General features: G+C 44.7%; 2 protein-coding genes, 1 long non-coding RNA gene and 1 other non-coding gene across 6 annotated transcripts in view, besides 10 other annotated features; 2 read left to right on the plus strand and 2 right to left on the minus strand.

The window, feature by feature from the left end:
* PCNA (proliferating cell nuclear antigen) lies at positions 429-12,098 on the minus strand. Of its 2 annotated transcripts, NM_002592.2 has the most exons (7): positions 11,976-12,098; positions 5,054-5,390; positions 4,245-4,342; positions 4,086-4,153; positions 2,946-3,140; positions 925-1,048; positions 429-838 (listed from the first exon to the last, which is right to left on the minus strand). In NM_002592.2, exons 2-7 carry the CDS (start codon positions 5,272-5,274, stop codon positions 759-761), a joined length of 786 nt encoding a protein of 261 aa, NP_002583.1. In that variant the 5' UTR covers positions 5,275-5,390; positions 11,976-12,098; the 3' UTR covers positions 429-758. The 2 variants fall into 2 exon arrangements, with proteins under 2 accessions (NP_002583.1, NP_872590.1); NM_182649.2 differs by lacking the exon at positions 11,976-12,098 and having other exon boundaries at positions 5,054-5,434.
* Positions 4,008-4,888: an enhancer, noted in NCBI's record as "NANOG-H3K27ac-H3K4me1 hESC enhancer chr20:5099178-5100058 (GRCh37/hg19 assembly coordinates)". NCBI's record gives its function as "activates a minimal SCP1, AML or CMV promoter by ChIP-STARR-seq in primed H9 embryonic stem cells {active_cell/tissue: H9 hESC(primed)}" and the evidence as "EXISTENCE:reporter gene assay evidence [ECO:0000049][PMID:30033119]".
* Positions 4,628-4,777: an enhancer, noted in NCBI's record as "active region_17511". NCBI's record gives its function as "activates an Ori minimal core promoter by ATAC-STARR-seq in GM12878 lymphoblastoid cells {active_cell/tissue: GM12878}" and the evidence as "EXISTENCE:reporter gene assay evidence [ECO:0000049][PMID:35858748]".
* Positions 4,889-5,769: an enhancer, noted in NCBI's record as "NANOG-H3K27ac-H3K4me1 hESC enhancer chr20:5100059-5100939 (GRCh37/hg19 assembly coordinates)". NCBI's record gives its function as "activates a minimal SCP1, AML or CMV promoter by ChIP-STARR-seq in naive H9 embryonic stem cells {active_cell/tissue: H9 hESC(naive)}" and the evidence as "EXISTENCE:reporter gene assay evidence [ECO:0000049][PMID:30033119]".
* Positions 4,889-5,967: a biological region, named in NCBI's record as "NANOG-H3K27ac-H3K4me1 hESC enhancer GRCh37_chr20:5100059-5100939".
* Positions 4,968-5,027: a silencer, noted in NCBI's record as "silent region_12653". NCBI's record gives its function as "represses an Ori minimal core promoter by ATAC-STARR-seq in GM12878 lymphoblastoid cells {active_cell/tissue: GM12878}" and the evidence as "EXISTENCE:reporter gene assay evidence [ECO:0000049][PMID:35858748]".
* On the plus strand, positions 5,062-5,445 carry PCNA-AS1 (PCNA antisense RNA 1). The gene has a single exon (NR_028370.1). It is a non-coding gene; the product is annotated as a PCNA antisense RNA 1 (long non-coding RNA).
* Positions 5,218-5,387: an enhancer, noted in NCBI's record as "active region_17512". NCBI's record gives its function as "activates an Ori minimal core promoter by ATAC-STARR-seq in GM12878 lymphoblastoid cells {active_cell/tissue: GM12878}" and the evidence as "EXISTENCE:reporter gene assay evidence [ECO:0000049][PMID:35858748]".
* Positions 5,518-5,967: an enhancer, noted in NCBI's record as "active region_17513". NCBI's record gives its function as "activates an Ori minimal core promoter by ATAC-STARR-seq in GM12878 lymphoblastoid cells {active_cell/tissue: GM12878}" and the evidence as "EXISTENCE:reporter gene assay evidence [ECO:0000049][PMID:35858748]".
* On the minus strand, positions 6,893-7,015 carry LOC124900464 (small nucleolar RNA SNORA26). The gene has a single exon (XR_007067767.1). It is a non-coding gene; the product is annotated as a small nucleolar RNA SNORA26 (small nucleolar RNA).
* Positions 11,973-12,892: a silencer, noted in NCBI's record as "silent region_12654". NCBI's record gives its function as "represses an Ori minimal core promoter by ATAC-STARR-seq in GM12878 lymphoblastoid cells {active_cell/tissue: GM12878}" and the evidence as "EXISTENCE:reporter gene assay evidence [ECO:0000049][PMID:35858748]".
* Positions 12,155-12,656: an enhancer, noted in NCBI's record as "H3K27ac hESC enhancer chr20:5107325-5107826 (GRCh37/hg19 assembly coordinates)". NCBI's record gives its function as "activates a minimal SCP1, AML or CMV promoter by ChIP-STARR-seq in naive H9 embryonic stem cells {active_cell/tissue: H9 hESC(naive)}" and the evidence as "EXISTENCE:reporter gene assay evidence [ECO:0000049][PMID:30033119]".
* The window catches only part of CDS2 (CDP-diacylglycerol synthase 2), a 70,880-nt gene continuing 68,511 nt past the window's right edge, over positions 12,484-14,852 (plus strand). For both annotated transcript variants that reach the window (NM_003818.4, XM_006723660.3), the window contains exon 1: positions 12,484-12,625. In NM_003818.4, coding sequence (NP_003809.1) covers positions 12,569-12,625 — 57 coding nt within the window. In that variant the 5' untranslated portion in view covers positions 12,484-12,568. The remainder of the gene's footprint in view (positions 12,626-14,852) is intronic.
* Positions 13,233-13,322: an enhancer, noted in NCBI's record as "active region_17514". NCBI's record gives its function as "activates an Ori minimal core promoter by ATAC-STARR-seq in GM12878 lymphoblastoid cells {active_cell/tissue: GM12878}" and the evidence as "EXISTENCE:reporter gene assay evidence [ECO:0000049][PMID:35858748]".

Genomic DNA, 14,852 nt, shown 5'->3' on the forward strand with positions numbered 1-14,852 from the left:
GTTGCAAAGTGTACTTATACTAGAGAAATTTTGTACAACCATACTCCTTGGGCCCCATTACAGCTCTACTGAAACATCCAAGACTCTTGTAAGATTCCCCAGGCTAAAAAGAAACACTCCATTAACATCTTATAAAGCCCACACGACTTTCGGTACATTAAGCTTCTGAAGAGTATTAATTTTTGCCAAGTAAAATGAAATACACAGGATTTGTACTACTCTCTCACTTGTTCCTTGAGCTCAAATTGGAATAACAAGTTTGACAAGTGAATCCCCTAAAATATCTAGTAACCTACTGTATTTGAAATCCTTTTGATCTCCATCAGGCTGCTCTAAACTGAAAAACCATTTAAACGAAAGGGTAGCTGTAGCTGGGAATTCAGTAGGATACTTCCAACAGTCCTGGTCAAAATGAAGACACTGCCCTGTGATGTTTGAAATTCAAGTAACTTTATTTAAATTCAAAAACAATTCTTAAAACTGCATTTAGAGTCAAGACCCTTTTGTATTATAAAAATCACAAGTATTTCTAAGAGACAAAAATACTTCTAGGTTAACTAGACCAGATCTGACTTTGGACTTTATTCTTTAAACAAATTGCAGAGAATAGAGAAAAAAATAGGTTATTTACAGAAAACAATATCTACATATGTACTTAGAGGTACAAATTTGGTGACAGAAAAGACTTCAGTATATGCTGGCATCTTAGAAGCAGTTCTCAAAGAGCTTAGTTTTATTTTCTTGAATTTTAAGAATGCCTAAGATCCTTCTTCATCCTCGATCTTGGGAGCCAAGTAGTATTTTAAGTGTCCCATATCCGCAATTTTATACTCTACAACTGAAAGACAGGAAGATGGTTAATTACTGAGGAGTATGTATCACATATGACTACCTACAAAACAAGGTTCAAATTTATTATCTTACCAAGGGGTACATCTGCAGACATACTGAGTGTCACCGTTGAAGAGAGTGGAGTGGCTTTTGTAAAGAAGTTCAGGTACCTCAGTGCAAAAGTTAGTTGAACTGGTTCATTCATCTCTATGGTAACCTACAAAACAAAAGATTCATCATTGAAAAACATCAAGAAAGTTGCAATCTATTAGCTCATTATATATTTATAAAAACCCACAAACACTTGTATTGGTCACTTTGGAGGGAGCTATGAAAATTTTGAAGACTGATACATAAAGCAAAAGACTCGATTATCTAGCTTGTCTTTCCTATAGCTATAATTTAGATAACCAAATTATATAATATGGGAAAGCTTTTCTTTATGGAAGTTTTTCTAATAAGCAGCCAATAAGTGAATAAAACGTATTAATTTCAGCTCTGCAAACTCTAATTAATGACTTAATGGATCTAGACAATGACTATTATAGCTGCTAACATTGCAAACACATCCAGACACCCTGTGCCTCCTACTAGAGGCACACACCACCACCTATATTCTTGCTCTCTCACCCCCGAAACAAAACACCCTGAATATCAAGGCTCCAGGGCTATAGCTACCAGTCTGTAGGACACACAGGGTAGAGGAATTTATGTATACACAGGAATGCAATCAGCAAAATCCAAACTCTGGAAAACTTAATAAATGATCTAATTTCTTCAACAAATAGATTGTAATGGAAGGGGGAAAATGAAATTAGGGGAAACCAGGCTAGGTGTGTTGGCACACACCTGTAGTCCCGGCTACTTGGGAAACTGAGGCAGGAGGATCACTTAAGCCCTGGAGTTTGAGGCTGTAGTGAACCGACTGCACCACCGCACTCCAGCCTGGGTGGACAGAGCAAGACCCTGTCTCAAAAACAAAGAAAAACAGAAAAAGAAAAAAACGAGGTTGGCAGGAGTGGAAATGTGATTCAGGAAACAGATAAAGAATCAGCTCCTAGACTTTATTAATTTAAAAAAAAACCTTTCAACTGAATTTTACCTTTATTTAAACTAAATGTTGACTACCCATTCAAGGGACAAGAGAGCAATATATAGTATTTATTGTAAGCTTATAATATGCCACACACAGCATATGCTAAGCTCTTTAATGCTACCGTATTTAATCCTAACAAGGTTATGAGGTTAGGACCTTTGTCCTTGATTTACAAAGTTTTAATTTATGCCCAGGTTAGCGAGTTTTTTTTGTTTGTTTAAGATGGAATCTTGCTCTGTCACCCAGGCTGGAGGGGAGTGGCATGATCTGGGCTCACTGCAACCTCCGCCTCCTCGGTTCAAGTCATTCTCCCATCTCAGCATTCCAAGTAGCTGGGATTACAGGTGTGCGCCACCACACCCGGCTAATTTTTATATTTTTAGTAGAGATGGGGTTTTGCCATGTTCTTTCTATTTTGGTTAAACAAGGGCTCTCTAGGTACTCTCAAAGTTGCATGGAGTCTGCTTTCTAGCCTTAGTGAGAAGTCTCCTTCCTGTTTAACCTTTGATTCCTACAGCCTGTGACTTTGGCTAAATTGTCACTTAAGGTTGCTCAGCCTGCTTCTCCACCTTTAAAATGGGCTACCAATTGGACCCACAACATGTAAGCTAATATTAGGATTACATAAGTGCTCCAAACAGGTAGACTTTTACTCCTAACCATATCCTTCTATTGAGCTGCTGTCCTATGCTCAATTATTTGGTAAGAGAGTAAGTATCTCCAGAAAGCTAAAGGTTATACGCCTAACTTCCCAATCCTACCCTTAAGAGCCGGTGTGGACTTGATCCATAAACCACTGTTCTGTGGTATGTACACGTGCTGAATTTGTATTCCCTTCTTGCAAATATAATTCTAAATTGGATGACACTTATAAATCATTCGCAGATTTCAACAGTATCTCAATTTTCAGAAATTACTTGGGATCCAATTCTGTCTACTTTTAATTTTAGCAATTAACCTAATAAGCAGTATTATAATTCTCTTCAAACTATTTTCTTTTTACTTAAAAACTACTTACAGCTTCCTCCTCTTTATCGACATTACTTGTCTGTGACAATTTAATGTTTCCATTTCCAAGTTCTCCACTTGCAGAAAATTTCACTCCGTCTTTTGCACAGGAAATTACAACAGCATCTCCAATATGGCTGAGATCTCGGCATATACGTGCAAATTCACCAGAAGGCATCTTTACTACACAGCTGTACTCCTGTTCCTATTAAGAACAAAAATTTTCCAAAAGTTAATTGTTAGAAATTTAATGATTTGGCACCCTCACTTTCTTAAAAGGCAACACCTAAACAACTCAGAATCAATATTTTCTGATTACTTTAAAATATGACTTGCGTAATTTCTTAACAAACTCCACTCAAAAAAATAAATGGCTATTAAATGCACCATCCAGGGAACAAGAGCCTCCTCCTCCTCATCCTCCAGGGATAAAGTAAGAGAACATTAGAGTATGGCACAGAAATCATGATGGCGCAAGCAGGCCTAACTACTTTCTAAAAGAAAGCAAGAGAATATATTAGGCATTTTCAACATTCAAACATTTCTTCTCTCCTTTGGTGTTTATAAACCTAACCTGGATAAATTTCTTCCAAGTCAGCTTTAAAATCCACTTAATAAAAAGCAAGCATTCTAGAAGGAAACAAATTTTAAAAGAGGTTCATGGAAGTTAATGCAAATAGACAACTGGCAGTAAACAATAAATTTAACCTGTGAGTTTTAGACTTGTGGTGAACAACTATCCAAATACTAAAATCTCTCTTTGAAACATGCACCAGTAGATATATTTCTAGAAAAAGTTGTTATGAAGTAGGCTTAAATTATATTAACATATCTTGACGGAGGAGGATCACTTGAGGCCAGGAGTTCCAGACCAGCCTGGGCAAGACTGCCCCCACGCCCACACACAAAAATGAAAAAATTAGCCAGGTGTGGTGGGACAGGCCCGTAGTCCTTCCTAGCCACTTAGGAGACTAAGGCAAGAGGACTGCTTGAGCCCAGGAATCCCAGGTTAGAGAGAGCTATATGGCACTACTGCACTCCAGCCTGGGCAACAGAGCCAAGACCCTGTCTGTAAAAATAAACAAACATTCTATGACATAACTATCGTGCCTGTGTACAGCACTCTCTACAATGAGAAACTGATACTCACTGGAATTCCAAGTTGTTCAACATCTAAATCCATCAACTTCATTTCATAGTCTGAAACTTTCTCCTGGTCTACCAAAAGAAAGCAGATGCTTTTGAGAAATACTGACACAGAGTTTTGATTTTCTGTAGCTTCGTGACTCGGTAAAAAGGTACGACTTACTTGGTGCTTCAAATACTAGCGCCAAGGTATCCGCGTTATCTTCGGCCCTTAGTGTAATGATATCTTCATTGCCGGCGCATTTTAGTATTTTGGACATACTAGAAGACAGGAGACACATGCTTTAAAATCAACGCCGTCTGCTGAAGGGCTGTATTTCGAACGCGGTTAGAAGGGGTTACCACTCTCACCCATCAGGCCGTCTCAGAACTGGTGGAGGGTAAGCGGACTGCTGGAGGATGCCATTATTAATGCAGACGTTTTGGGACGCATCTGGCAGTATTTATACTAAAATACCACCAGCAGTGTCCCTTCTGGATAGAAACAATCTCCTGCCACTAAGTAGGATGACAGGCTGCCACATTTCTCGCAAGGGCATTATAAAGCATTTAAAGTCAACCGCGACTGAGCCGGGAGGATCGCTTGAGCCCAGAAGTTGGAGACCAGCCCGGGCAACACACCGAGACCGTCTCAGAAACAAGAAAGCCACAGCTAAAGCGTCCATTCAAGGCCAACAGGATTTAGTGAGCAAAGAGCCCTGGAACAGTGTTCCTGGCACTGCGGAAAAACCCTTGATTTTCCCGCCACCACCCGCTTTGTGACTTTGGCGCGAAAAAGCAGGTTCGCGCAGCAGCCAGCGCGGGCTTTTCCGAACCGCGCGCTCAGCTGGGCCCCACCCCACTGCGTGGCAGGCCAATGAGAAGGCGCGGATGGCCCACGCCAGCCAATGAGGGCTAGGCTCGAAAGCGCTCCCGCCAAGCACCGGAGGTGCAGGCGGGCCGGGGCCGGCTTCCCGGGGCCGCGAGGCTCACCTGGTGAGGTTCACGCCCATGGCCAGGTTGCGGTCGCAGCGGTAGGTGTCGAAGCCCTCAGACCGCAGGGTGAGCTGCACCAAAGAGACGTGGGACGAGTCCATGCTCTGCAGGTTTACACCGCTGGAGCTAATATCCCAGCAGGCCTCGTTGATGAGGTCCTTGAGTGCCTCCAACACCTTCTTGAGGATGGAGCCCTGGACCAGGCGCGCCTCGAACATGGTGGCGGAGTGGCAACAACGCCGCTACAGGCAGGCGGGAAGGAGGAAAGTCTAGCTGGTTTCGGCTTCAGGAGCCTCAGAGCGAGCGGGCGAACGTCGCGACGACCGGCTGAGACCTAGAAAGACAACGACCACTCTGCTACGCCTGCAACCGTTTAATGCCGCCGCGTCCGCAAGCGCGCGCTCTCACCCTGCGCCGCGTTGCGACGTCACCACGCTGTCCAGCCCACGGCCTTGCGGGGAAGACTTTAGGGCCAATCGTGTCCATGCTCCCCGCGAGGCCCGCCCCCTAGAGCATACATTGGAGGAAGCGGGCGCAGGGCGGGGCAGCGTCGCGCAGGTCTCCCCGCCTCTTTGACTCCTGAACCCGGCCGCAGAACAAGTCCGGGCATATGTGGAGATCGGGTCCCGGTCCCGGCTCGTCAAGCCCCAGCTTTATGGTGGCTCCTCAGCCTCCCACTACGTGGGTAGAAAGTTTCCAGCCACGAAAGTGAAAGTGAAATGCAAATCAAGCCTACCGGGAGGAAAAGCCTCCTTGCAGCCTGAAGAGAGTACAGCTGCTGCAAATATGCACTTTATTTTTCAATTACAGAATTGATGCGCTCGTAGGTGTCACAAGATAAAGAGGTGAATTGTTCTGTTAAACTTAGCTCCCTATCATCCTCTTAACATTCCCCCGCCAGCTCTTATAATCACTCAATCGTTCATTGTATAAAGCTTTTAAAGCTTTTTTAAAAGTTCGAATACACTTTTTTTTTTTCAAAAATGCACTCATTCCGTAAACACTTGGAAAAGTACTTAATAAAGTACATTTAATTTTATGCCACGTACATCTTTTATCATATCAGTACCTCTTTAAAACATAGCATCACATGTATATAACATAATTTATCAATCTCCTGTTGTTTAACTACAAACACCTTTGAGCACTTAGGCAATTTTGGTGATATCAACTCCTTGAAGTAATACAGCTGAGTCAAAGAGCGTACACATTTAATATTTTTTCTTTTCTTTTCCTTTCTTTTTGAGATGGAGTCCTGCTCTGTCATCCAGGCTGGAGTACAGTGGCGCGATCTCAGCTCATTGCAACCTCCGCCTCCCAGGTTCAAGTGAGTCTCCTGCCTCAGCCTCCCGAGTATCTGGGATTACAGGTGCCTACCACCACCCCCGGCTAATTTTTGTATTATTATTATTATTTTTTTTTAGTAGAGACGGGGTTTCACCATGTTGGCCAGGCTGGTCTTGAACACCTGACCTGAGGTGATCCACCTGCCTCGGCCTCTCAAAGTGCTGGGATTACAGGCGTGAGCCACCACGCCCAGCCAGAAATTTTCAATTGTTACAGGATGGACAGGATTTGTTGTTTCTCTCTTGCTTTCTTCACACCACTTCTCTTTAGTTACTTTTAATACCTTGGTCAGCAGAATTCTTTAGTTTTTCTACCATGTATCTAGGTATGGAGTTAGTTTTATTTGTCTTGTTGAGGGAACTGAAGATTCATTTCAAGTCTGACATATTCTCAATCATTATGGCTTCAAATATCTCCTCTCCTTAGTCTATTCTTTATCTCTGGAATGCCTTTCTTTCCTTTTTTTTTTTTTTTTTTTTTTCCTAGTTCAGCTGTGACTCCATACAAGGTTCTAAGATGAGTTTCACAGTCTCTTCCCTGGATTTTGTGGAGACTTAACTTTACCCTTCTGTATCAGCCTCTTAAAGCACTGGGTCAGCCTTAAAAGGGAACAGGAAAGGGCATTTCTATTATAAGATGCCTTCAATTGTAATATGTACCATTATTTTATGTAGCACAAGCAAGAAAACTGTCAAACTTTTTTTTTTATTATTTTCTAGAGAGGGGAGTCTCCCTTTGACACCCAGGCTGGAGTGCAGTGGCAAGATGACTACTCACTGCCACCTCCAACTTCTAGGCTCGAGAGATCCTCTTGCCACCTCCCAAATAGCTGGGACTACAGGGGTGCACCACTGTACCTGGCTAATTTTTAAATGTTTTTGTAGAGAGAAGGTCCCACTATGTCGCTCTGGCTGGTCTCCAACTCCTGGGCTCAAGCAATCTTCCCAATCGGTCTCCCAAAGTGTGAGATTACAGGCATGAGCCACTGTGCCCAGCCTCAAACTGTTACACAATGCTTTATCACTTAGAATTTCTTTTTTTTTTTCTTTTTCTTTTTCTTTTTTTTTTTTCTGAGACAGAGTCTCACTCTATCACCCAGGCTGGAGTGCAGTGGTGTGATCTTGGCTAACCGCAATCTCCGCCTCCTGGGTTCAAGCAATTCTCATGCCTCAGCCTCCTGAATAGCTAGGATTACAGGCATGCGCCATCACACCTGGCTAATTTTTGTATTTTTAGTAGAGACGGGGTTTTGCCATGTTGGCCAGGTTGGTCTTGAACTCCTGACCTCATGTGATCTGCCTGCCTTGGCCTCCCAAAGTGCTGGGATTACAGGCATGAGCCACCGCGCCCGGGTCTATTTTGTTTTAAAAGAACTTTTAGACTTTAAAAACATTCTTATTATATATTACTCTTGTGCAAACATGAAAAAATTTAAGCTACATTGGTTAAGGCATTCCTACTGTTTCTCCACTCAGTTAGTTGCTGATTCTGCTGTTTTTCTGTATAATATCCTACTCTGTGTTGTCAAGGGTATTGATGATGCAGTATTTTTCAATAGTGCTATTCTATTGTCTCTGGAATTTCTTGCAAGCCTCTGCTACTCATTTGTAAGTTTTGATGTTGGCACTTTCTTGCTTTATGTGTGATGGACTACCCATTTGCATACATCTCAATATCAAAACATAATACAGCATCATCTGTTTGTGGTTCTTTTCCTTTCTTGGGTCCGTTAAAATCTCAGTTCCTTTGCAAAATGTGGAATGTGTTCCTTCCTCCAGTGAGGAACATTTGCTTCACTAAAAACAAATGCATATGCTCCACTACTCTGTTTCAGTTCTGTCTGCTTACATAATAACATTTTGGTTTAATGCCAAATTACATGTAATAGATTTGAAGACATTTTAAATGACAAACTCTATCCATGGGGGATCCACCATGTACATCAATCTGTTTATTTCTGCTCTATTACAGAAGTGATGTCCTCCTAAAAGTGTCAAATGATAAAGAGGTGTACAGTTACGTAAATTTTATGTTAAACTGAAATGAGGACATAAACATGCCTATGACTGTGGTCAGAGAAGGCCTCTCTGAGGAGGTAGCATCTTATCAGAGAAGACAGCTGCTTGGAGAGTTGGAAAAAAGCATTCTAGGCTGAGAGAATAGCATGATTATAAAGGTCAGCATACTTGGAATATATTCAGACAAGTTTGATGTAGAACTCAGACTGATGTGTCTGAAGCAAGAGTGGTGCAAGGTGAGGTTGCAGAGAGGCTGGGGTGAGCTCTTGCAGGACTTTGTAGGCTCTCTAAAAGTGCAAGGGAATGTGGTCAACAGCAGATCTTTGATGTGATCCAATTTACATTTTAAGTGGCTACTCTAACATCTAGTAAAGGTACTATTGGATCAGTGGGAGAAAGAATGAAGTAAATTTTGATCAGATAATTGGTTAAACTATTAGAAAAGAATAAAAGCTGTAGACTTTTCTGGATGGGCGCAGTGGCTCATGCCTGTAATCCCAGAACTTTGGGAGGCTGAGGTAGGTGGATCATCTGAGGTCAGGAGTTCGAGACCAGCCAGGCCAACATGGTGAAACCCCGTCTCTACTAAAAATACAAAAATTAGCTGGGCGTGGTGGTGCACACCTGTAATTCCAGATACTAGGGAGGCTGACGCAGGAGAATTGCTTGAACCCGGGAGGCAGAGGTTGCAGTGAACCAAGATTGCGCCACTGTACTCCAGCCTGGGTGACAGAGCAAACCTCCATCTCAAAAAAAAAAAAAAAGACTTTTCCTAATAATTATTCACTAAATTCTAGATAAAGAATTCAAATTCAAATCTTGACCCAATAAGAAATGGAAAAATATTTTGGTAAATATTTATGAGATCTTCCTATGGGCTTCCAAACATAAGAAAAAAACCCATAAAACATAATGAATAACCATACAAGTTTTAAGACTTCAGTATGCCTCAAAGGATTATATTGGTTAGTATAGTTTAGGTTTCAGTGACAGAGAACTCAACTTGAATGGATTAAGAGAAATAGAAAATTTATTCATCTAAACAAAAAGCCAGAGGTATCTGGCCTCCACTGTCCAGTCCTAGTCTTCATAAACGTGAAGTTTGTTAGCCACATTAATAAGCAAAGAAATGTAAATTCAATGGAGACAGAATTTTAACCTACCAAATTAATAAAAATCATGTTAACACCTGGTGTGTTAGGAAGGATTCAAGGAAGTAGGCACTTAAATACATTGCAAGTGGGAGTATACATTGGTATAATTTTTCTGGTGGAAACTTAGAAATGTGTATCAAAAGCCTTAGAATTTTACTTATTCTTTGACACAGAAATTCGATCTCTAGGGTTTTTTCCTACAGAAGAAATCAGGGGCATTTACCAAGATCAAGCATGCTTAAGAATGTTTCTTGAGCCAGGTGCAGTGGCTGATGCCTGTAATCCCAGCACTTTGGGAGGCCCAGGTGGGCGGATCACCTGAGGTCAAGAATTCAAAACCAGCCTGACCTAAAACCCCTGTCTCTACTAAAAATACAAAAATTAGCCAGCTGTGGTGGCGGGCGCCTGTAGTCCCAGCTACTCGGGAGGCTGAGACAGGAGAATTGCTTGAACCTGGGAGGCGGAGGTTGCAGTGAGCCGAGATCACACCATTGCACTCCAGCCTGAGCAACAAGAGGGAAACTGTCTAAAAAAAAAAAACAAAAAACAAACAAAAAGAAAACAAAAAACGAAAAGAGAGAGAGAGAAGGGCTCTAAAGCTGGCCTAAAGCCCTATTAGCATCACTTCCACCAGACCCCTGTTCGTCACACAGTACTGACTTCAGGAATATACTTGATCTGAGTTCCATTAACCTGAGAGGGCTGAGTGTAATGGATGAGAAGTTTGTTCAGACCACATGTTATCCATCCTAGTAATCATGCTGTGCATTCTATAATTCTGACTTATGTGCATTGATTCTCCAAGCCTCCTTTTATTAGGCTGGATTTGAAAAGGAGCAGCTGAGTTTCTAGAAGGACTGACATGACACTCACTTAGATATGACCTTTCATACCTACGTGCCCCTGAAGGTGAAGTTCTAGACACTAACATCTTCACCTGTCTTAGAAGATCATCTTGCTCGAGTGCTGTGGCTCATGCCTGTAATCCCAGAACTTTAGGAGGCCTATGTGGGAGGATTGCTCGAGCCCAGGAGTTTAAGACCAGCCTAAGCAATAAAGTGAGACTTCATCGCTACACAAAAATTTAAAAGTTAGCTGGGTGTGGTGCTGCACACCTGTAGTCCAAGCTACTCGGGCATATACTCATATAGAAATCAGGAATATATAATGCTGTTTTCAGAATTCTCACTACCTGCCCCAAAACTCACAGCTCAGGTCAAAATTACCAATAGGAAATTTTAGCCAGGCATGGTAGCTCATGCCTGTAATCCCAGCACTTTGGGAGACCTAGGCGGGAGGATCTCTTGAACCCAGGAGTTCAAGACCAGTCTGGGCAACATAGTGAGACCCTGTCTCTAAAAAAAGGAGAAATAAATTAATTAAAATTTAAAAATTGAAAAGAAGAAAAATGTAAAATTATATTTTTTTAAAAAACGAAATTGCAATTCTTTTGTGTGCAAGTGTCTCATTGTGAGATTACAGTATGCTTAAGTTGGGGACGCAGTGTTATATGTGTTTTACATCACTTACAGGGCAGTGAATAGAAAGAACAGGAAACACCAAAGGCAATGCTGGAGCAACACAAGTATTAATAAATGCAGGCAGGCAGTATAGTATGGTGGTTAGAGTGTGGGCTGGTAACAAACCTGTTTGTGTTCTAATTCTTACTAGGCACTTTCTAGCTGGGAGACCTTGGCTAAGGTCCTTTTAAAAGTTTTAAATCCATCCAACAAGTACTTACAATGGATGTGTCAAAGACATAGAGGATGCACAGTAAACAAAGTAGACAGCACTTCTGTCCCAAAAAAGGTCTTTCCATAGTCCAGAAGACAAATTTGAAAAACTGAGGAAGGGCCAGGCTCGGTGGCTCACGCCTGTAATCCCAGCACTTTGGAAGGCGGAGGCGGACGGATCACCTGAGGTCAGGAGTTCGAGACCAGCCTGACCAATATGGTGAAACCCCGTCTCTACTAAAAATACAAAAGTTAGCCGGGCGTGGTGGCGCGCACCTTGGAATTGTTTGCGCCCGGGAGGCAGAGGTTGCAGTGAGTCGAGATCATGCCACTGCACTCCAGCCTGGGCGACAGAGCGAGACTCCGTCACAAAACAAACAAACAAACGAACAAACAAACAAACCACTGAGGAAGATCTTAACTGTAAAATTCAAATCATACCCACTTCCAAGCCATGTGTGGATTAAACGAGATAAGCCAACTAAAGCGATTACTCAGCTCAGTGCCTAGTATACAATTAGTGCTTAACAAGTACTAGCGACCGCTTGGCAAAGCAAAGCAGACTGAAGCGTGGGTTTCATTTCTCATCATGTGATAAGTGATAAAATGCTCTTAACCAGGTCGGCTCACCTGGCCTTTCCATTCGACCTAAATAACGTCTACTTACTTGCGTAAGGGAAGAGCTCTGGCCCAGGTCAGCAAGCATTTGTCAGGCTAGAGCCTCCGGGTGGCGCTTCTCGCCCTCAGTAACCGGTTACCTCCAGAACCAGGGCGCCAGCTCCGGCCATCCGCGGTTAAGCGGGAGCTCCCATTGGCTAATCGCACACTGAAACGCACGCCTTTTCCCGCCCCTGACGCTGCCGTCCAATGCGCGCCTCTCGACTCTGCTCCGCCCCGCCCCGCCCCCGTCGCCCTGCCTCCCTGGCGTATTTGCGCCATTGGTGGATATTCCGGACCGTGATGGTGGCGCTGCGCGTGCGCACTCGCTCCGAGCCCTGCTCCCGGGAGAGGGAGCTCTCGGGTCGGGGCTAGGGAAGGCTGACCCCGCTCGGCCCGGGTGAAAGGGCGGTGACGGCACTGGGTGGGGCCGAGCTCCAGGGCTGGCTGCTGGGCTGCTAAGGGAACTGTGAGCCGCTCAGAGCCGCGCGCCTCCCGGGCGGGGCGGGGCCGGCCGTGGGAGTCCGCGCGTGCCCGCGCCGAGCTGCCTGCTCCGGCGGCTTCGCTGCTAGCTCGCGGCGACGTCGGGCCGATTTTCCCAGGATGACAGAGCTGAGGCAGAGGGTGGCCCATGAGCCGGTTGCGCCACCCGAGGACAAGGTAGCGGCAGCGTCGGGGTGGGCGCGGCCGGGACAGCGGCGCATCCGGGAGGCCTGCGGGGGACGCGCGCAGAGGGGTCGTCTTGTTCTCTGACCCTTTGTCGCAGCCGACGGCGGCCCCGGGCCCGGGTAGCGCGAAGGGCCCTCGGGTGCCCGGCCTTCGCGGCGCGCGCGTCAGGGGTCGGCGGGTCGGGGTCCCGGCTCAGGGTCTGACTGAAGTGGCTCCCCCGGGGCGCAGGAAGGAGCTTCTCGGGAGTGGCGCACGGCCTCCTGCCTCGCTGGGCTGGCTGCGGGGACTCCCCTCTCCCCCAACTCCGTGAGGCCTTCCTGGAGGTGAAGATATGCAGAGCCTTCTTAGGGAGGCGGCTCCTCTGAGCGCAACTTAGGCTCTCCGTTCCCTTTTACAATGTTATTATTTTGGGGGGTGGGGGAATCAGGACAAGGCCATAGCATTTGCCTCCTGGGAGATGTAAATCCCTTCTTGGGCATGAAATCATCGGCTTTGAGCAAAGGGGTGTTACCCAGTGAGCCAGTCCGTCATCAGCAGGTGTTGGAGGGCGTCCTCCCGGTTGATGGGTTGTTTCCTGCACCGTGTGGGCTCTGGTGGGTAGGGGAGGAGAGTAGGAAGGAGGCCATCTTGGCGGGGACAGTGGCGGGGGTGACGGGTGGGGGAGTGGACTCCTTTGGGTGAAGTGAAAGATCTGTGTAGGGGAGTTAAGGAAGGTAGGGATTGGTTTTATTACTGTGGAGGTTGAATGGCAGTATAGGACTTTGTAGCAGTAGTTGTGCTTTCCGAGATAGCAGTGATCAGGAGCCCTGTGTTTGGGAAACTGATCAGACAGTGATGTGTAGAAGGGACTGAGGGAGCCTGGACCAGACTGAGGGAGCCTGGTTCACTCGGGATTGCCCATGAGTGACCTGTAGATGTTTTCTTTGGCCCACATATTGCCTTAAAAATCAGAAAGTTTCTCCTAACAATCTAAATTTCTTGCCTGTCTTAGATAATTGGAGGGTCCACCATCACTTTGTCACCTGCTCAATGGTTGGCTGGAGCTGAGGATCATCGGTTCCCACCAATCCCTGTTGCCTTACACCAGGCTCACGGCTTCCCCTAATGCAGCCTGTAACTTTTTGATGACTGGACGCAACGGACATTAGGGAGACACCCAGAAGGAAGAAAGCACAAGATTTGGTGACAGGATGTCAACAGAGCAGTTACACTAGGAGGAATGTTTTTGGTGAAAGATAATGAGATCATGGGTTTTTTTTAAACAACTTTCGTGTTATTGCAGTTGACAGTGGACTATCCAAAGAGAACTGTTCCTACCGATTTTTAGAACATATATTTTGGCCAGGCACAGTGCTGCTCGCCTGTAATCCTAGCTTCTAGGGAGGCTGAGGCAGGAGGATCGCTTGAGCCCAGGAGTTTGAGACCCTGTCTCAAAAAACAAAAACAAAAACATATTTTGGAGAACATTTAGGGCTGGGGCTGAGGATTTAGCAGTCGCTTGCAGAGACAAGATACTTTGAAGTCTCTAATTTTTCATTTGGCTATCCTGGTTCAGCCTGAAAGAATTCTGACTTACCTTGTACTACTAGTTGGTGAGTATGCAGATGTTTGGAGGCTCTGTAGCTCTGTTTAAGGGTGAGATCATGCTTGATGTTAGTGGGACTTTGTGGACCTAGAAGGTGTGAGGAGAGAGAGAAGAAAGAAGGCATGATAGCTGGTGGGCCATGTTTTTGAAAAGCTAACTATGTACAATAATTAGAATGTCAAAAAACAACCTTGGGATTATGAGATGCAACATAAAGATTCTACCCTCCTTCCCGGACTCGTTGGATCCATCCCCCAGAGATAAAGTGCGAGTTGAACCGTCTTACTTTCACATCCTGTACTTTAGACTGGGAGGACCTGAGGAGCTGTCCAGCTAGAGGTGCACTTATATCACTTATACAGTGACAGAATGCCTGGGGTCATGAGGTCCACTTGTGGCGTGTTGTTTCCTAAAAGACAGCTGCTATGCACTCTGTTAAAAGCCTGATGTTCATTACCGAGAACAAGACAATCAGTTCCTCACCCCATTATTCAGAACTTCTCAATTGTCACTGAATTGTCATGTATGGGATTTTATTATTATTATTTTTTTAGACGGAGTCTCTCTCTGTCGCCCAGGCTGGAGTGCAGTGGCACGATCTCAGCTCACTGCAACCTCTGCCTCCCAGGTTCA

This window comes from Homo sapiens, chromosome 20 (genome assembly GCF_000001405.40).
Source record: "Homo sapiens chromosome 20, GRCh38.p14 Primary Assembly".
Classification (NCBI taxonomy): Eukaryota; Metazoa; Chordata; class Mammalia; order Primates; family Hominidae; genus Homo; species Homo sapiens.

Bases quoted from the DNA above. Each gene is read 5' to 3' on its own strand.
- PCNA (NM_002592.2), bottom strand. From the start codon at position 5,274: ATGTTCGAGGCGCGCCTGGTCCAGGGCTCCATCCTCAAGAAGGTGTTG. The intron at 4,343-5,053 runs GTGAGCCTCGCG...CCTGTCTTCTAG, and splicing joins ATGGGCGTGAACCTCACCAG to TATGTCCAAAATACTAAAAT. The intron at 4,154-4,244 runs GTAAGTCGTACC...TTCTTTTGGTAG, and splicing joins GCTAGTATTTGAAGCACCAA to ACCAGGAGAAAGTTTCAGAC.